At 45.6% G+C, this 20,826-nt stretch overlaps 1 protein-coding gene across 15 annotated transcripts in view, besides 1 other annotated feature; it reads left to right on the top strand.

Moving 5' to 3' along the window:
• The window catches only part of FCGR2B (Fc gamma receptor IIb), a 31,412-nt gene extending 14,814 nt beyond the window's left edge, over window positions 1–16,598 (top strand). The window contains exons 2-10 of one of the 15 annotated variants that reach the window (NR_169827.1): window positions 1,114–1,297; window positions 8,196–8,216; window positions 9,336–9,593; window positions 9,856–9,993; window positions 10,919–11,173; window positions 11,904–12,017; window positions 13,201–13,257; window positions 15,272–15,309; window positions 15,420–16,598. Coding sequence is in view for 14 of the 15 variants with exons in the window: in NM_004001.5 (NP_003992.3) it covers window positions 1,186–1,297; window positions 8,196–8,216; window positions 9,336–9,593; window positions 10,919–11,173; window positions 11,904–12,017; window positions 13,201–13,257; window positions 15,272–15,309; window positions 15,420–15,497 (933 nt within the window). In the remaining variant the exon portion in view is untranslated. Of the gene's footprint in view, window positions 1–1,086; window positions 1,298–8,195; window positions 8,217–9,335; window positions 9,594–9,855; window positions 9,994–10,918; window positions 11,174–11,407; window positions 11,516–11,903; window positions 12,018–13,200; window positions 13,258–15,271; window positions 15,310–15,419 lie in introns of those variants that run through there. The other 14 variants (NM_004001.5, NM_001002275.3, NM_001394477.1 and 11 more) reach the window with 14 other exon arrangements.
• Window positions 8,944–9,522: an enhancer, noted in NCBI's record as "H3K4me1 hESC enhancer chr1:161640790-161641368 (GRCh37/hg19 assembly coordinates)". NCBI's record gives its function as "activates a minimal SCP1, AML or CMV promoter by ChIP-STARR-seq in naive H9 embryonic stem cells {active_cell/tissue: H9 hESC(naive)}" and the evidence as "EXISTENCE:reporter gene assay evidence [ECO:0000049][PMID:30033119]".

Raw genomic sequence — 20,826 nt, forward strand, 5'->3', positions numbered from 1 at the left:
ACAGAACGCAAGAAAAGAGAACTAGCATTCACCGGACACCCACGATGTACCAAGCACTTTGCTAACCCTCATATTCTCTTTTACTTTCCAAAAACCTGTAGTACTGTGGTTCTCAGCCAGGGGCAATTCATCCCCTGGGGAACACTTGCTAATATCTGGGGGCATATTTGTTTTCACAACTGGGAGTGCCACTGGCATCTAACAGGTAGAGCCCAGGAGTGCTGCGGAACATCCTACAATGCTCAGGGAAGGTCCTCACAAGAATAATTTGGCCCACAATGTCCATAGTGCTCAGGCTGAGAAACCGTGCTTAAATGGTAGGCACAATAATCTTCACTTTTACAGATTGGAACCTGACACTCTGAGAAGCCACCTGGCATTCAACCCGAAACCTAACACAGCTCCAAAGCCCATGCTCTTTCACCATGCCGTTGCAGTGAGAACAGGGATGGAAATGAGGGTGGCAAAAATGACCAAGATACAAAACCAGGGCACAGATTGGTGCTCAATAGATACTTATTGGGATATTCATTAAATAGAAGAATGAATAAGAAAAAGAATGAATGAGGGCAGGGGAATAATGAGGATGAGTGTGGTCATTCTATTGCCATCCTGACATACCTCCTTGTCCTTGTTCCACAACTCAGCAGTGAGTCTGGGATTATGACAATAGAGAAAATTAAATGATGGTAGGTGGCCTGGAGTCCCCATGCTCAATTTCAAGAAGCATCCAGATTCCAGGGCCTGGGTCTCCAAATGGAAGTAGAAGTACTAGAAGATTGCTGGTGCACGCTGTCCTGCATCACCCTTTCTCAGGAGGATAGAGACTGAAACAGGAGGTTCTGAGCTGAGTTTTGGTGACCATTTCCCTCTTTCTCCCAGAGGCCCAGGCCAGCTGTGGCCTCAGAGGAAGAAGAAGGGAGTTGTTTCCCTAGTTTCTAAAATTTCTGTGAATTTGAACATGGGCTACACCAGATTTATTCTGGGAAGCTCTGAATCTTCTAGGAGGGAAAGACTGAGAGGAAAGAGGGTGGAAAGGGAGGAGCCTGTGATAAAACAGAACATTTCTTTTTCACTTCCCCTTTCAGACTCCAGAATTTGTTTGCCCTCTAGGGTAGAATCCGCCAAGCTTTGAGAGAAGGCTGTGACTGCTGTGCTCTGGGCGCCAGCTCGCTCCAGGGAGTGATGGGAATCCTGTCATTCTTACCTGTCCTTGCCACTGAGAGTGACTGGGCTGACTGCAAGTCCCCCCAGCCTTGGGGTCATATGCTTCTGTGGACAGCTGTGCTATTCCTGGGTGAGTCAGGGCCCCCAGGAGGGAGAGAGGAACGGGAACCTCAGTTGGGGATAACCCTGGGCAAGGATGAGGGGTGGCATGGGAAGACCGTCAGGACACCCAGGGGAGGGAAGGCAGGCTGGTGAAGATGAAACCCTGATGACTCTGCTGGCTTTGGAAAGTCATCCAATGTGGCAGAGTTCAGGGTTTTTTCAGTGTCTTTCACCCAATCTTACTGAACACCCAGACTCTTGATGTTCTGTTGCTTTCCACATCAGAACCCGCTCTGAGAAAAGTCTAGTAACCTATACTTGAATGATAAATGAATGGCCAGAGTGTTTGCCTTCTTTGAAATTTATGCTTCACAAAAGACCAAATCTTAGGCAGGAGGGCCAGTGCTGCCTTGGGTAAGGGGTAGGGAGGAAGTTGTAAGATGCATTTTTGGGAGGAGGTGGCAGTGGCCATTCTCTGTGCCCCTGAAACCACTTTGTGTAGCAGAAGCCTATTGTCTTCATGTGTAAGAATATTCCCCTAGGCAGAAGCACAGGGAGATCTGGGTTATCCAGGGAAAAGGGACTCTGAGAATACAAAAACCTGGGTAAGTCTGGAGTCATCTGTTGTGGGACCAGAGAAATCATGCATGCTGCTTTTGACCACACAGACCATGATGGGGAAGTACTGCATCTGATCAGCAAGAGAGACAGGGTCTTTGGCCAAAATGGAGGGCTCTTTTCTAACCATGTTCTCAGCTGTTGGATAGGGGACGACGACTGATTTTGCTGAGTGGTTTGAAAAGCCTAGGGGAGGCCAAGTAGGGGAGACTTACTGCCAGGACTATCTCTCCAAGCTCAGTTCCTGGGGCTTCCACCCTCACATTCTAGAGGAAAGCATATTGCCACTCAGCCAAGTTGTGTGATGTGATTACTAGTGAAACGTGATCAGCTCTGGGGGCCCTCGGCTCTTGGCTGTCAATGCAGGATGATACTGGGCTACAGGAGAAAGAGGTAAGGAAGACAGAGTATTCCCCCATGAATAGGATGGAATGGATTAAAGTAGAAGAGAAAGTAAAGTGAACTACCTCATTTGTCATGTGGGGAAGTTCAGGCCTAGAGAGGTGATGTGCTTCTCTACCACCTGGGCAAGACTCCTGGGAAAGATCTTTGGTATTTTTTCCCATTTGCCTTTTACTAAGTCATCAAAGATTTACCCCATTTTTTCCATTCTTATTGGGGCTGCCACATTTACGTCTTCATCACTTGATAACTCAATTTTTATAGCACCCTCTGATGGGGTCTTGATTGATCCTGTCTCCCCTCCCCTGCATCCATGCTGCCCACCAAGGCCACGGCATCTTCAGGTCCAGCTATGGCTGTGTCAGTGCATTTAATAAATGCCTTCCGTGCTGCTCCATTGCCCACTGCAAAAACTCTAATTCTGCCCTGCACACTGTGTTCTCCATTGCACCCCACATGAATCTTCTTCTACAGCCAGGCAGTATGTACACTGCACTTTCTGTTTTTACCACCTTTGCTCCTGCTGACTCTCCAAATTCTATGTGCAGGCACTGTTCTAGGACTTGGAGACTTATCAGTGAACATGACTGACAGCCTTCCTGACCGGAAATACGAGGTCAATGAACTTATTGTGAAGCAATAAGTACACCGGGTGGGAGGATATTTGGTATTTACTACTATTTATTAACTGTGGAATGGATACATAATTGGTGACTTCTCTCTCCTTTCCTCATCTTTTCCTTTTTTTTCTCTCGCTCTTCCTCTTCTTTTTTACTCTCTCTCCCACTACACCGTCCCCCTTGCCAATCTTACATACTCAGGTTTTTAGCTACCACTTCTATGTCAATAACTCCTAAACCTATTTCTCTTGCTTGCTTCTGTCAAGTATAATTTTATATTTCCACTGCTGGTTGGACACCTCTAAAATGATTCTCCAGCTCAAAAACAAAGCATATTCAAAATGCAACTTATCATCTCCTCCTTACAAATGTTCTCTTCCTCCTAACATTTGTATTTGCGTAAGCGCAGCCACCCTTTTCCTAGTTATCCAACTTAAATCACCCCCACAGTCTATTAAATGCCAACTTCTCTCTGCCACTTAAATTTCTTCTGCATCTGTTTCCTCTTCTTCACCTCCTATTGTCAGTACAACTTTGGGCTCTCTTATCTCCCACCTAGATTCAACCAGTGAATGATTTCCAGAGCAATGGCACATCAAATTAATATGGCTACTGCTCTCTTTGAATTTATATTCTACTGAGGGATATAAACGGTAAGTAAACAAACAAGAAGGCATAAGTACAAATGGAAAAGGGCTATGAAGATGTAAACGGGGTACTGTGATAAGATTAGTTGTGGGGAAGAGAAGAGAGCAGCCCACTTTAAACAGGATGTTATGTAAAGAGTTTTCTGAGGGGGTGACATTTAAGCTGAGACTTTCAACATGGTAAGGATTCAGCCATTTGGTGATCAAGGACGCATTTCAGGGTAGAGGGATTGGCATACAGAAAATCCCCAAATTTGAAGAATGCCAGGAAGGCCAGTGTTAATGAGGCTCAATGAGTAGGTGAAAAGGGATCTGAGCTGAGGCTGGAGAAGGAAGCACGGACCCAATTTGATAGGGCTTGCAGGCCATTTCCATTTTATTTTAAGACCAAAGAAAGGCAACTGAAGGCTTGTAAGTTGGGGAGTGATATCATCTGATTTCGTTTTTTTTTTTTTTTTAAGGAACTAGCTTCTTTATGGAAAATGGATTGTAGGGTGACCATAAGAAGTGAGGGGACAAATTAAGATATGGGAAAAAGCTGATGGTGACTTAAACTGAGTAGTGTCTATAAAGGGGGTGAAGAGAAGTTAGTGGGTGCAAGATCTAAGTTGGAAGCAGGATCAACAAGACTTCCTGGTGTGGAAGGGACTGGATTTTGGGAGACAGAGAGGTTAAAAGATGGCTTGCAGGTTTCTGGCCTATGTAGCTGGGTGGATAACGAAGATACATATTGACATGGGGAAGACGGAGAGAAACAGAATGTGTCCACTTGCTATGACAACATGAAGCCATTGGTGATTTTGACAAGAAAAGTTTTAGTGGACTGCTGAGGGCCGAGTCCAAATTGCAGAGAATTAGACAGTGAATGAGAGGAGAAGAAATCAGGACAGCCTATGTAAGAAAAACAATGGAGAAATTTAGTTTTGAAAGGGATGAGACAGGCCAGGCACAGTGGCTCATGCCTGTAATCCCAACACTTGGAGAGGCCGAGGTGGGTGGATCACTTAAGGTCAGGAGTTCAAGACCAGCTTGGCCAACATGGTGAAACACCATCTCTACTAAAAATACAAAAATTAGCCGGATGTGGTGGTAATACAAAAGTTAGCCGGGCGTGGTGGTGCATGCCTGTAATCCCAGCTGCTTGGGAAGCTGAGGCAGGAGAATTGCTTGAATCTGGGAGGCGGAGGTCGTAGTGCACTGAGATGGTGCCGCTGCACTCCAGCCTGGGTGAAGCAAACAACAACAACAACAAAAACCGAGAGAAATGGGGCAGTAGCTGGAATTATATGTGGTGTCAAGGAAAAGTTTTTTTTTGTTTTTTGTTTTTAATGGAAGATACTGAAATAAATTTACCATTGATGGGAAGATCCAGCTAAGAGAGAAACTGGTGATGCAGAGGAGAAAGTGAATAACAGAAAGGGAAATCTTTGAGAGGATTAAAGGGAATGGGATCCAGAGTACTTGCTTTGAGACTGACCATAGACAGGAGGAGAGATGCTTTCTCCAGTGAAATGCGAGGAAGGAGAAGACAGGTAGAGATGCAGAAAAGACTGGTAGATTTAGTCGGGGGACGATGTGAGATCTTCTGTGTAACCTCTTTTGTTTTCTCTGTGAAATATGAGGAAAGGCATCAGCTAAAAATGAGAGAGGACTGGAGGCAGAGGGTGGGATGAGAAAGCTTGGGGAATGAGGAAAAGATGAGTGTCACTACTCAGAGTAGCAGAGCAAATTTCTTGGAAAAAAGTGCCACAATGGCAGTTCAGTGTCCTTTTGAATGCGGTGATCGCACATTTACTGCGTCAACAGTTTGCCTTCTTGTGTGGTAATTTCAATAACACGCAGCTGAGCAAGTAAAGGCATGGCGAATACAGGTGCATTTGGTAGAGACAGAGAAAGGCAACGAAGTTAAGGGGATTTGCAAGGAGGTAATTATAATGATGCCTCATTGAATTCAAGCTAGATGGGGGAGGGTGGGAGGTAAAGGCAAACATGTGCTCAAGGATAGGCAGTGGTAAGATGGATGCTTTGGGGTTCTTGATAAGGTCAAAGATTATTCTGGTGGCTGTACTTGAGCAGAGAAAGTTCATCTCCAAAGAAAGAAAGTTTACTGATGATGAGCAGTTCAGGGAATGAAGAGGCCAGTTGTTTGATGGGTTATCCACATATTCTGGATCACTACAGTCATCTCTTTTTTTTTTCTTTTTCTTTTTCTCTGACCTCATTCTTCCATCACAATTAGTTTCTTTCTTAATTAAGCTCTTTGGCATTTGCCCTGTTCCAATCTATTTGACACTGCACTTTCAGCCCCAATTTGAAAATTCTAAGTGACTTCCCACTGTATACTGAACCAAGGAGTGAACTTATAAAAAAAAACTTAAATTTATTTGAAATTCACCATGTGTCATGTAGCACACTAAATGCCTTCTCTGGATTATCTCATTTAATCCTAACAACCACCCTATGAGGTAGATACTGCTGTCATTATCTTCATTTACAAGCAAGGAAACTGAAGCAGAGAAAAGTTAAGTAATTTGTGAAAGGTCACTTAGCAGTAGCGGAGTCAGCATTTAAACTCAGTATGTGCTTTCCCCCACTGCCACACCACCTGGCACTAGGAGCCCTCCAGAGTATGACTTCTACCTTGCTTTCCTGCTTTGTCCCTCATTATTGGAAGTGCTTGAGGAGAGACCAGAAATCAAGTAGAAGTTGGGCTGCAACTTGCTGGGAATGTTGCCAAGTACTTGCTGCTCCTTCCCATGGAATACCTTTTCCCTCTCAGCCAAAATCCTATCAGTCCTGGAAGGTCCTTGATGAACCTGAAAGGTCCCATCTTCTCCATAGGATTCCCCTCCTTATGAACCCCAAACCCTCCCAAACACAGAGCCCTGGGATCTTTTCTTTCTCTGAACCTCCATAGCATTTTATCCAAATTCCTCTAATGTCATCTCTTTTACATCAGATTACACATGTGCTTATCTCCACCGTTAGATTCTTGCCTTCAGTGGAAGTAGGGACTTAACGTTCTTTTCCCTTAGGTGAACTCAGCATGCATTGCAGGGCAGTAGGAAGCCAATGCAGGTTTGTTGATTAATTTTGGATGCAAAGGAAGGAAGTGATTGGTCCAAGTGTATATTTCGAGATATTGGAGCATCGGGACCAGAATCCAGTTCTGTAAACTTTGAAGCCAACACTTTCTCCACATTGCTCCCTTTTTACCTCTTGGTTCTGATTCCATTTCCTTCCGTACTTTTGTCCCTGAAAATATACATGCACTTGGAAGCTTCTTGACTTTCTCTCAGCCCAGATGCAAGAGAAAACCTTCACCCATGGACAGATGGACACACACACACATACACACACACACACACACAGAGCTCTGATTCACCTAAGGACCCAGCTTTGCTTCTTTACCCAATAACAGCACCCACAAATCTTTATCTACCCTAGCCCACACTTTGCCTCCACTACGGAAGCTCTTTTCTTAACCCAGTGGCATCCCCCTACCCCTGCATGAAGTCACAGATCTAGTGCCCTTTTGCAGTCTCTTCTTCCTTTTATCAGATATTTCTAATAGCAAAAATCTGGAAGACCTAAATGCCAAGCAAAAGAGTTGTTAAATAAATCACAGGACAGCCAAATAGTAGGATATAGTGTAGCCATTTAAAATGACAACATGGGCGGGGAACGGTGGCTCACACCTGTAATCCCAGAATTTTGGGAGGCTGAGGTGGGTAGATCACTTGAGGTCAGGAGTTCCAGACCAGCCTGGCCAACATGGTGAAACCCCTTCTCTACTAAAAATACAAAACTTAGCTGGGTGTGGTGGCGCGGGCCTGTAATCCCAGCTCTTGGGAGGCTGAGGCAGGTGAATCACTTGAACCTGGGAGGCGGAGGTTGCAGTGAGCCAAGATCGCGTTATTGCACTCCAGCCTGGGTGACAGAGTGAGACCCTGTCCCCCCACAAAATAAAATAAAATAAAATAAAATAAAATAAAATAAAATAAAATAAAATGACAACATAGAAACAGATTCATCTTCTAGAACTTGCATTGCTCAGTGAAGAATCAGGTTAAAGAACAGTTTTTAGAGTATATCCTCATTTACACTTATGTATGTCTGTATGTGAACAGCGTGTGTCTGTGTGTGATCACAGAAAGAAATCCAACAGGATGTATGCCAAGGTGATAATATTTTGCTCCTGCGTATTTTCTATTTTTCTGTAGTGATCATGGATTACCTGTGCAATTTCTACCCCCTCCCAACAAAAGAACAAATCTTGCTCTCAGGATAAACTCTGGCAAAATTATTTATACTGATGCATAAATCATATGTAAAGCCCAACAGAGACCTCTTTCCAGAGGCATATTTATTTTAATCAGTCAAGAGGGGTAAGCCAAAGGAAAATGCCACAAAACAGGTGGAAGAGGGTGTTATATACTTTTATTTCATTTTTGTATGTTACTGGGAGTTCTCAGTCCTTTTAAAAGTGCAGCTCATCCAGGCAGTCCCAGGGGATATGGCCACGAGGGCTGTGCTGTAGGTGAAGGGCGCTCTGGGCCTGGGCAGTCTCTGGGCCAAAGTGGGCAGGTGTCAGTTCAGACACTCCACTGTGGGCTGATCTTTGCTTTCTGTCTTACAGCTCCTGTTGCTGGGACACCTGGTAAGTACTCCACCCACAGCCTTTCCTTCCCTCGGGTCCCCTTTTCCTCTCCTCCCAGTGCCCTGTCTGGAGGTGCTCTAAATGCACCAGCAACTGAGCCCAGTACCAAGTCAGGGCCAGGAAAGGGTAATTGCTCCCGAAAGATCCCCTCTCCCTCTTCCACTCTCCTCCTTCCTTTTCCTCCTTCCACGGAGGCAAGTGGTAGGCAGCCACGGTGTTCAAATGGGGGAGCTGTCACAGAAAATGAGAACTCTGATCTCTCTCTCAACTGCCTTCCGCTGTCCAAATAAAACCAAGGGCTTCCTCTCTCCAAATAAAATTCAGGCACATGCAAAATCACATGGCCTGCATATGTTGTCCCCCTGTGTTGCTAAATCCTTGACTGTGCATGTTTCTGAGAGCTCCAAGGCCTGTTCCCTGACAGAGTGGTCTCTGCATACCTCTGGCTACACTTTGCCGGGCACTTCTGTGTTTGTGCCACTCAGCCTCCACCGCTCCAGGACTGGCCCTCCGGCTTTTCTCCCTCTCTCTTTATCCTTCTGAGGCCAGAGAGGCTCGTGTATGCTTGGGTGTGAGGACGGGCCATCTTGACCTCGTTTTTAAAGTATACAGAATGACATTAGGTCAGAACGGAAACCTGATATCCAACTCCCATGCCTGCCATCTCCACCAGAGCCCCCACTTATCTTCAGCCAGCCCCAGGGGAAATTTATCCACTAGTGTCTAAATGCCTTTGTTTATCGGGGAGAAAAGTTAGTCTCGAAAGAGTATGTATGTATGGGGTGTCTGTGTGTCTGTGCTGGTGGGGAGAGGTTGGTGGGGAGAGAGAGAAAGAACTGGTGAGGATATCTCAGGTAAAGTATATGTATTTCGAGGGTGTTTCTCTTGCCTGCTCCCTCCTTCTTCCCTGTTGCCCTGTCGGAGTCCTGGGCTCCCTGGGGCCGTTGTGGTGGGATGTATGAGCAAAAGCAACTGCCTTCAGTTGCAGAACCATTCTGGGCCTGGCTCGGCTTTTGGTGCCCCTAGTAGGCCTACAGGTGCTTTTTTGTCTGAGATTCAGGGCCTCTCAAGCTCCTGGGCTTCCTCTTCTTCATGCTACCTCCTCTCTCTGCCCCTCAGCAGCTCCCCCAAAGGCTGTGCTGAAACTCGAGCCCCAGTGGATCAACGTGCTCCAGGAGGACTCTGTGACTCTGACATGCCGGGGGACTCACAGCCCTGAGAGCGACTCCATTCAGTGGTTCCACAATGGGAATCTCATTCCCACCCACACGCAGCCCAGCTACAGGTTCAAGGCCAACAACAATGACAGCGGGGAGTACACGTGCCAGACTGGCCAGACCAGCCTCAGCGACCCTGTGCATCTGACTGTGCTTTCTGGTCAGTGGAGGAAGGCCCCAGGGTGGACCTGGGAGGGCCAGGACGGATGAAATCTGCTTTCAGGCAGAGGTTTGCAGGAAAGGGGGGTGGCCTGCTTACTGGGAAGTATCGCTGTGAGTTGCCTCAGCACATATCAGTGGTTGTTTTTGCCTCAGTTCTGATTGAACAGAAGAAGGTTTCAAGGCCAAAAACAGGCAGCCAAGTGTGAGAGAAGCAGAAGGAAATCCCTACTGCATAAAACCCATTTCCATTTTAATGGCAGAATTGAAAAGCACAGACCACAACTGAATCCTAGCCCTGGAAATGACTCACTATACAACATGATGAATTCATTTAACCCTTGAGTTTCCATTTCTTCACCTGCTCCGTGGGGCACTAACGCCTCCCTCAGAGGCTTCTGGTGAGAATCAGTGTTTCCCTGCCCCCGCCCCGCCCTCCATGCCCCTTCTCCACGTTCTCACTGTGCTAGGTGCTCTTCTCTGTCTTTCTCTTCCACCAGCCTGTGGGAAACCTGAGATGAAAGTCGTGTCTTACCCATCTTTGTATTTCCAGCATCTGAAACTGGGCAGAGCTTAATAAATATTTTGCTGGAGAGGTTGATGATCTTACAAAGCTCCCATTGAAAGGTGGCTCTCTGTAAAGCAAAGTTACAATGAGATTGTGATGAACATTGTCCTTGTGGCTTTTCACTTAGTCCCCTCCCTTCACCTGAAGAGCAAATTTTCCTCAAAAGTACACAGCAAACGAATGACCCACTGGTGACACTGCTGCCTTTAGACCCTGCTGGAAAGAAGCTCCACATTTATTAACATTCCCGAAGTAAATTTATCAGGTAGCATTCATCAGGTAACATTTGTTGCACATTCATGACTTTTCTACTGTCCACAAAGGCATATGTCCTTATCATATGCGGACTCCTCGGTCACACTGGATTCTTCCTTCCCTCCTCGACATGGAAGAGATGGCATCTTAGGGTCTCTTGTGTTCTTCCTGCAGAGGCCTGTCGGGCAGGAAAAGGCTGCAGCTGCCTTCCTGGGAGAAGGAGGAGATGAGTGTATCCTGAACACCTATTATGTGCTAGGGGCTATTGTAGATACATGACACTATCATGCTCATTTTCACGAATGAGGAAACTGAGGCTCAGAAGACTTAAATTATTTGCCCAAGAGTTCATAAATGACAGAGCCAGCATTAGAGTCCAGGACTGTCTGATTTCAGACCTAAGCTGTTCCCTCTGCACATCGTGTCCCACCAGTAAGGAAGATCTGGGTCTCAGAGCTGAGCCAAGACCTCCCGGGTCCTCTGCGGTTTTTTGTGTCTTTCAGAGTGGCTGGTGCTCCAGACCCCTCACCTGGAGTTCCAGGAGGGAGAAACCATCGTGCTGAGGTGCCACAGCTGGAAGGACAAGCCTCTGGTCAAGGTCACATTCTTCCAGAATGGAAAATCCAAGAAATTTTCCCGTTCGGATCCCAACTTCTCCATCCCACAAGCAAACCACAGTCACAGTGGTGATTACCACTGCACAGGAAACATAGGCTACACGCTGTACTCATCCAAGCCTGTGACCATCACTGTCCAAGGTATGCGGAGTCTGCCAAGATGTAAGGAGGGGAGAAGAGGGGATGGACAAGGGCTGAGGTCACATGGGCCTACATGGAGGTCTGAGAAAGGCCACAGCGCAAAATTGGGCACTGGAGCAAAGAGGAGTGGTGTGGAGGCCTGGCTAAGTATTGACCAATGAGCAGGAGTAGGGGCCAGAGCTTGGAGCCCTCAGGTGATAGGTGACCAGGCTGTTGTTCCACTTTGAAATGCAGGCCCCAGACTAAGGACGGCAGCGAAGCAGAGCTCCCTCGTTGGTGCAGAGGTTCCCTAAGCTCCTGGGCATTCCTAAGAACTGAGGTTTGCCTTTATTCTTCTCATGGCTCATGTTACAGCCATTCACTCCAGAAAGCCTGGCACGTCATGGACCGTTCAAGGCTGTGCTCCATAGAGTAATGATGCCTCCAGCTATGCGAGGCTTTGGGCCCACCCTTCCCACTGCCCCTGAGGGCTAAGGGGAGCCCTTCCCTCTGTTCCTGCCTGCTCACAAATGTACCTTTATTAGTTTGGTGGAGAAACCTCGGTAAGCAGGAGGCATAAGTCCAGCCACAGAAACCCTGTGCAGATGAGGCTGGGGATGTAGTGAGTGCTGCAGAAGTGAGTGACTCAGACACAGAAGAGCTTCGGGTGACAAGCACTAGGACATAGCATTGGATGGGGGGGAGGTGGGACAAGGAGAGTACTGCCTGTCCTGATGTCTGTCTTCCCTAGCTCCCAGCTCTTCACCGATGGGGATCATTGTGGCTGTGGTCACTGGGATTGCTGTAGCGGCCATTGTTGCTGCTGTAGTGGCCTTGATCTACTGCAGGAAAAAGCGGATTTCAGGTTTGTAGCTCCTCCCGGTCCCTTTGGTTATCAGTTTCCACTTGGCCCAGGCCCTAACCCCAGACATTGCCAGAATCCCTCTCTTTGGGCTAGATACACATTCAGATCTAGGCCCGTATTGTATTATAGTCATTCATTCGTTTATTAGATCATTCATTTGACAAGACTTGAACAAACTAGCTTATGTGTCAGCCAATGCGTGAGACATGGTGGGTGATGCCAAGAGAAGTCCAGTCCCTGCCCTTGGGGAGTTCTCAGCATTGTGAGGAAGACAGGGTCATTATAATAAGATGGGATAAGAGCAATGATAGGGACATGAAAAGCCTAGGATAGAAGTACAGAGGAGGCTCCATAGCCCAACAAGGGCTGAGGCAGTTGGAGAAGGTCTTGGGGAGAGCAGTGTAGTGTAGTGATGGAGTGCACATAGTGGGGCCAGACTGCCTGAGTTCAAATCTAGTTCTACAGCATACCAACTATATGACCCAAGTGAGTCACTCCACCTCTCTGTGCCTCAGCTGTCTCAAGTGGAAAATGGGGACACTAATAGGACTTACCTCAGAGGGTTGCCATGGGGATGAAAGAGGCTGATGCTCTTACACAGTGCCTGGTAGGCAGTAACAGCACACAAACAGGGCTGTTGCCATTCTGGAGGAGGTGGTGTGTGAGGGCAGCGCTTAGCTAGGGAAGGAGGACCCTCCAGGCACTGGGCCAAGGCAGGGATTGAAGCCGGGTGGGGCTCATATGGGTGTCGAAGGGGGAGTAGAGAGGGTACTGCAAGCCACCAAGAAAGAAAGAATCCTGCTAACACCTCACAAAGCACTTTTCAATTGGTTCATAGCCAACACCTCAGTTACTGATGATAAGTAAATACAGAGAAACAGAGAGAGAGAGACTGAGACACAGGGGTGTTTTTAAAAGGCAGAGCAAGCCTCAGACAGATGCCATGGCGTGGACTTTCTGACACTCCTGGGCATCCCCATGGGTGAGCTGAATTCTGCCTCTGGACCAGCCCTTTTCCAGGCGGGAGCAGCCTCTGAGCAGGGGAGCTGGGGGTGGGAGGACAGGAAACATCTGCCAGAGTGAAGGCCTGAGCTGGTCCCATCCAACCCTGGCCCTGGTCCTTGGTCCTGAGGACTCAGGCCCCACCGCCTAATCCTACTAACCTCCTGTGTGCCCCTCCCAGCTCTCCCAGGATACCCTGAGTGCAGGGAAATGGGAGAGACCCTCCCTGAGAAACCAGGTGAGTACAGGTTGTCTCAGGGATTCAGTGATGGCTCACCAGGGCTGCCGGCTGGACTGGAGCCAGGGAGAAGGGGCTTGTGCAAGTTCAGCTGGGAGCCAGGGAGGGAGCAGCAGTGGGAGGATGGCTGGGGCTCAAATCGCTTGGTCAGCTCTTAGTCTAACTCCTGGGCCTAAAGACGACCTCTCTGGAGATGAGAAGAGAAACACCAGTCCCAGATACAGAAGAGAGGGCTGTGTCCGAATTTCTGGTACCAGGAATCTGGTGATATTTCCAGAGCAAGAAATCAGAGATACTTTGGTCTTCCTGTGGAGCTTTGGCAGAGCTGGCAAAGGATGGGGTTAGGGGCTGTAAGACTGAGGCCAATAGGACGTGGGAGGCAGGAGTCTAAGGGGAAAGGAGGAGGAGGCCTGGAAACCCCTTGATTTGCTGAGGAATCTGCCTCTGTGGAGGGATGGGGTGGAGTGGCCAGGCTCAGCTGTCTGTGGAACACTAGGAGGAGGTTTGGGCTTGAGAAAATTCTGGGGGACTAGGGGCACTAGTGGGCTCTACTCTGTGGGCAAAACTCAGTTCTGATGCCCATGCACTCAAGGTTGACTGAATTTTGGCCTGGTTCTGCCCTCATCACACAGTGGAGCCCTGAGCAAGTCAGTCTCCCTGATGGGGTTCAGTCTCCTCACTGAGGAAATGAGTGGGTGGCCAGGGTGACCTCTCAGGTCTTCTAGATTTGACATTCTGAGAACCAGGGGCCACCCAAGCCCTGGCCCAGGTGGGAGTGTGTAAAGGAACTTCCAGGAGGATGCCAGGCAACTTCCAGACTGTAGTTAAAGTCAGAGCACAAAGGAAACCAGTGCTTTCTCTGGGGGCTTCCATGACAGTAAGAACAGGCAGAAAAAAGAGGCTGTCAAAGACCCCACCTCAGATGGCTGGAGTATGATTCAGAGCAGAGCCAACAGATTTAAGAGCTTGAGCAAAATATCACTTGTTCAGCTGTGCTTGCAGCAAGGTCGCATGTCTGCTGGCCAGGCCCAGTGGTGATAGGGGCCTGTGTTCACACCAGGGCCAAAACAGATCTGGAAAAAACAAAGTCCAAGCAACTGGATTATCCATCTTGTTGTGTGGTTCTGTCTGCACTGGCATAAGCACATTTCACAAGGCACTTTTGCAGCCAGGCATTGGGGCTGCATAAATGGTTTTTTAAAAATCCTTTCCCAAAAGGCAAAGCTGGGTTGCTGGGATTCTTGGGAAATGTAATAGAATGGGAATTCAGAATGCGGTTTACTGCAGAATTTACAGCATGGCAATAAAGGCTCTCTATGTTCAGGGGGTGAGAGAAGAGACTAGATGCATTGTCTCAGATGTCTCCTGACTTCCTGAGAAATGCCACTTTGCAGATATGGGGCTGCTTTTCACACTGGCTAAGTCAGTTCATGGCAAAATATGAGGGAATTCAGTGTGTTTCAGACACTAACCAAAGTCCATCCTTCCTTTCTCCTTCCGTCCCTCCCTTCCTCCCTTTCTCACTCACTCTCTCTTTCTTTTTAATGCCATGGAGTACCATATTTTTCAAAGTTCCAACAAAGATGCACTACATTTAGACAATGTGGAAATGGCCCTCAGCCTTCTCTCCCTGAAGTCTGTGGCCAGCAAAAATCTGGACTTTACTTCACTCTGATGCTGAACACCCCCCTCCCCCACCTCTTCCCCAATATCTCAGATCCCAAGCCTCCCTGGTTTGCTTCTAGGAAAGCTCAGCAATTCCCTGAAAAGAATGCAGCTCAAGTGACTGCTCCACTTTTTCACCTTGGCCTTTGCGGAAGGCTGTGGCTGGGCTACCCTATGCATCGATCAATGAGGTCATATTTACCCAGTGCTTGGCCTAGAGGCCCAAGACAGGGTCAGCAGTGCTTGCTTTGGCTCTAGTTTGGGCGTTGGTTTTGCAGCCTCAGCATCAGCACAGGCAGGCCCTCTTCTCCAGCAGTGCTCTGGCTGATATTTCTTCTTTTTCCCACAGCCAATCCCACTAATCCTGATGAGGCTGACAAAGTTGGGGTGAGTGATCCCAGCCATCTCCCCCTCCCTTCTCCCCTGTTGCCTTTTCTGTTGCCTTCTTTCCTAGGCCCTCTCTGTGGATCCTTACTGCTGGTTTCTGCCTTCTCTAGGCTGAGAACACAATCACCTATTCACTTCTCATGCACCCGGATGCTCTGGAAGAGCCTGATGACCAGAACCGTATTTAGTCTCCATTGTCTTGCATTGGGATTTGAGAAGAAAATCAGAGAGGGAAGATCTGGTATTTCCTGGCCTAAATTCCCCTTGGGGAGGACAGGGAGATGCTGCAGTTCCAAAAGAGAAGGTTTCTTCCAGAGTCATCTACCTGAGTCCTGAAGCTCCCTGTCCTGAAAGCCACAGACAATATGGTCCCAAATAACCGACTGCACCTTCTGTGCTTCAGCTCTTCTTGACATCAAGGCTCTTCCGTTCCACATCCACACAGCCAATCCAATTAATCAAACCACTGTTATTAACAGATAATAGCAACTTGGGAAATGCTTATGTTACAGGTTACGTGAGAACAATCATGTAAATCTATATGATTTCAGAAATGTTAAAATAGACTAACCTCTACCAGCACATTAAAAGTGATTGTTTCTGGGTGATAAAATTATTGATGATTTTTATTTTCTTTATTTTTCTATAAAGATCATATATTACTTTTATAATAAAACATTATAAAAACAACATTCTGTTTACCTTTTCAAGGCTGTATTGGTTGGAGTGTAGACTGAACTGCCTGGGGTCTGTTTCTCTTCAGTGATGAGACTCTTAGGAAGGCAGGAATGGATAGGATAGGGGGAGGAGAGGAGAGATGGGGATTTAGAATGTAGAGTGAGTGCCCCTTTTCTTAAAACTGAATACAGTCACGCACCACATAATGATGTTTAGTTCAACAACAGACTGCATATATGATGGTGATCCCATAAAATTATAATACCATATTTCTATTGTACCTTTTCTATTCCTATGTTTAGATATATGAGTACTTACCATTGTGTTACAATTGCCTAAAGTATTCAGTACAGTAGCATGCTGTACAGGTTTGTAGCCTAGGGGCAATAGGCTATACGCTACAGCCTAGGTGTGTAGTAGGCCACACCATTTAGGTTTGTATAAGTACCTGCTATGATGTTCACACAACAAAATTGCCTGCATTTCTCAAAATGTATCCCCATATTTCAACAATGCATGACTGTACTCTTCTGCCAATGACCTTGTATTCTTGTTTCCATGTCTTCTTCTCTTTCCTCCTATGGCAAATAAAACACTGTTTTGCAACACAAGTTCACGGGAAGTCAAACTTCAGATGAGCCCTGAGTGGAGATTGCTGACATGTCCTGCTCTGCTATTCTCCCAATGTAGTTACCAGAAGGATGTGACCTTCTCAGAGAAGTCATCTCAGGCAGATTAGAAACATGACTGGCAGTCTCCTTGAGGGTTTGGTGAGTGCCCTTGGAGAGGCTTCATTTTCCTGGGACTCTACGCAGTAACATCGTGCAACATTTGTTGCACTTTTTATGGTAGGATAAAAAGTACTCACTTTTTATGGTCCCACAATCAGATTTCATACACACTTATTGTTTTAGTAATAAGGGATAATAATTAAAATTACTGCGTTATTAAGGACTTACTTTGTGCCATATAGTTTGTGCCAAACTATATGCTTTAGAATTTAGAGAATTTACGATTAGCCTTTTATATTTCCTCTTTTGTGAGTTTCCTGTGTATTTATTCTTTGCCCATTTTTGTAGATACAATGTATGTCCCTTTATTTATAAATTGCATAGTAGTAACTTATTTCCTTTTATTTATATGTAAATTATTTCACTACACTAATAATGTATTCTTTTTATAAAATTAAGATACAGATAGGGAAAACAAAAAAATTAGATCGCCCATAAATCCATAAACCAGAAATAATTAATGCTAACATTTAAGGATATCAATCCATATTCCTGTCTGTGGCAGTGTGTATTTGTGTTTTAAAAATTGGATCTAATCCCAGCTACTCGAGAGGCTGAGACAGGAGAATCGCTTGAACCTGGGAAGCAGAGGTTGCAGCGAGCTGAGATCGCACCATTGCACTTCAGCCTGGGCAACAAGAGTGAAACTCTGTCTCAAAAAAAAAAAAAAATTGGATCATATCATATATTTTACATGTTAATAAATACACTCAGGCAAAAATGTATGCTCATTGTAAGCATGTAAGCCCAAATAATACAGAAAGATAAGGAGTAAAAAGTAGAAGTTCCATTTTGTCATCAGTTCCCTCTATCCTCTTCCCTTTTCTTTCTTTCTTTTTTTTTTTTTTTTAAGAGATAGGGTTGTAGTCCAGGCTGGAGTGCAGTGGCAGGATCACAGCTCATTGCAGCCTCAAACTCCTGGGCTCAAGTGGTCTTCCCACCTCAGCCTTCCTAGTAGCTGGGACTACCACACCTGGCTAATTTTTAAGAATTTTTTGGCCGGGCATGGTGGCTCACGCCTGTAATCCCAGCACTTTGGGAGGCCGAGGCGGGTGGATCATGATGTCAGGAGATCGAGACCATCCTGGCTAACACAGTGGAACCCCGTCTCTACTAAAAAAAATACAAAAAAAAAAAAATTAGCTGGGCTTGGTGGCGGGTGCCTGTATCCCAGCTACTCGGGAGGCTGAGGCAGGAGAAGGCGTGAACCCGGGAGGCAGAGCTTGTAGTGAGCCAAGATTGCACCACTGCACTCCAGCCTGGGCGACAGAGACTCCGTCTCAAAAAAAAAAAAAAAAAAAAGAACTTTTTGGCTGGGCGCGGTGGCTCATGCCTGTAATCCCAGCACTTTGGGAGGCAAAGGTGGGTGGATCACCTGAGGTCAGGAGTTCAAGACCAGCCTGGCTAAAACGGTGAAGCTCCATCTCTGCTGAAAATACAAAAATTAGCTGGGTGTGGTGGCTCATGACTGTTTAGTCCCAGCTACTTGGGAAGCTGAGGCACGAGAATTGCTTGAACCTGGGAGGCGAAGGTTGCAGTGAGCCGAGATCATGCCATTGCACTCCAGCCTGGGGAACAGAGAGAGACTCGGTCTCAAAAAAAAAAAAAATAGTTTGTAGAGACGGGGTTTTGCTATGTTGTCTAGGCTGATCTCAAACTGTGAGCCTCAGGCGATCCTCCCCACTTAGCCTCCCAAAGTGGTGGGATTACAGGTGTGAGCCACGGTGCCTGGCCCTGACATGCTACCTAAAGTCTGAAACTTGACTCCTGATCCCCAGGGTCAGTTTCTTTACTGATAGTTTTTCAATAAGCCATTTAGATAGTTGGCATGATTACGTAGCCAGAGGGGGCATAAAAATCCCTCTAGGAACTTCTGCTTTGAGCTCTCCCATAGCCAAGATTCCTTGTATGGATCCCGGTGGTTTAATCCAGACAAAAAGCGTAAATAAGTTACGGTAACTATAAGGATGCTAGGGAGCTTGCACATGGAATCTCTTGGACTCCCAGTAATTGCCTAGACTTTCTTTCTCTTGCTATACTTTTAAATAAGCACTTTGTTTGAGCATGCTCGGTAGAGTTTGATGAGTTCTTTCAAATATCCTCTTCAGGAAGGACATCCCTGACTGCACTTCCCCTACTGCTATTCCTCTGCTCTTATTTCCTTCATGGTATCTATCACTGTATGTAATCATGCATTTTTTTGCTTAAATATTTACTTACAAGTTCTAAAATGTAAGCTCACTCTGGGCAGGATGTTTGTATTATTCACTGGTGTATTCCAGAGACTAGAACAATGCAATCACTATTTATTGAATGAGTTAACGAATGAAATAATATTATATTTATCTAAAACTCTTAAATGCTTTAAATAGATCTTTACTATATTTGGAACTTATTTTTGGACTTGGTGTAAGGTGAGAACCTAATATAATTTTTCCATATGAAAGTCAGTTGTTCCAATATCATTTGTTGAACAGTTTAATAATTTGAAATCCTAATTTATCACCTAAATTCCCACTCATAGGTCTATTTTTAGCCTCTCTTCTATTACATTGTTCTATTTGTCTATTTCTGCATCAATACCACATTTTTAGTTATTGCAACTTTATAGTGTACTTTGATATATAGAAGGTCAAGTTTTCTCTCATTCTTTTGTTTCAAGGTTTTCTTGGCTACTAATGTGCTGCTTCTCTTCCAGATGTACTTAAGAATTCCATAACACTATTATGATATTGGTAGAATTGCATTGCATTTATAGATTATTTGGGTAAGGTTTGACATCTGTGTCATATTGAGGCTTCCTAAGTTACAACTCTTCATTCATTCAGACTTACAGAATTTTCCTATAATATCATATGAGCTTGGCACATTTTTTTGTGACAGATCTTTGACAGACTTTTCTTTCTGTCATTTTTGGTCTGGTTATGATTTTCTCTCTCTCGGGAGTCAATTTTGAAAACTTTTGCTTTCCTAGGAATCATCCATTTTATTGGTATGCAGTGGTACATCGCACTTTTCCCCTATTTTTTGGTAATAAGTTGTGTGTTTGTGTTTATGTCCCTCCTCTCATTCCTAGGTTTTGGGTTTTCTTTCTTTTATCAGTTAGGATGACTTCAGTTGGAAATAACAGGAAATCGTGATTCAAATTGGCTTAAACATTAAGGAAATGTATTATCTCACATAACAAAAAGTCCAGAGACAGACAGTTTCTAGCACATCAGAACTCTTGGTCCACTTTTCTACAATTCTGTGAGCACTGCCCTTGAGCTAGCAGCAAGATGATTATAACGGTTCTAAGCAGCATCATACCCAGACCACTATAGAAAGAAAGGGACTAACTATTCCTTTTATGTGTAGCCTTTTTTTTTTTTTTTTTTTTTTTTGAGACAGAGTTGCAGTGGCGCAATTTCCATTTACTGCAATCTCTGCCTTCTGGGTTCAAGCAATTTTCCTGCCTCAGCCTCCTGAATAGCTGGGATTAAGGCATGCGCCACCACACCCAGATAATTTTTGTATTTTTTAGTAGAGACCAGCCAGGCTGGTCTCAAACTCCTGACCTCAGGTGATCCACCTGCCTCGGCCTCCCAAAGTGCTGGGATTATAGGCGTGAGCCACTGTGCCTGGCCTTGTGTCTCTTTTTGACAATGAGGAACATTTTCTCAGAAGTTCTGCAACCATCTTCCCATCATATCATATTGGTCACGACTGGGTCACATGCTCATTCTTAAAACCATCACGAGAAAGGGGACTGAGATGACCATAATTCACTTAGCTTAATCATTTGGAGAGTCACCCATCCTGACACTATCTCTTTGTTCATCCTAATCAGACTTACCAAAGGTTTGCTTTATTAGTCTTGTATCAGCTTTTGACTTCTGGCTCAAGTACTTTGCCTTTTGCTTGTTTTCTAATGTATTATTTCTTTCTTAGATTTCATTTATATTTACTGTATTATTCATTAATTTCTAAACTTCTTGTTTTGAAATAGATTCACAAAAGGCTATACCTTTTCCTCTTCTGCCATTTTGACCACACCCATTAGATTTTG

The sequence above is a fragment of the Homo sapiens genome, chromosome 1 (genome assembly GCF_000001405.40).
Source record: "Homo sapiens chromosome 1, GRCh38.p14 Primary Assembly".
NCBI lineage: Eukaryota > Metazoa > Chordata > Mammalia > Primates > Hominidae > Homo > Homo sapiens.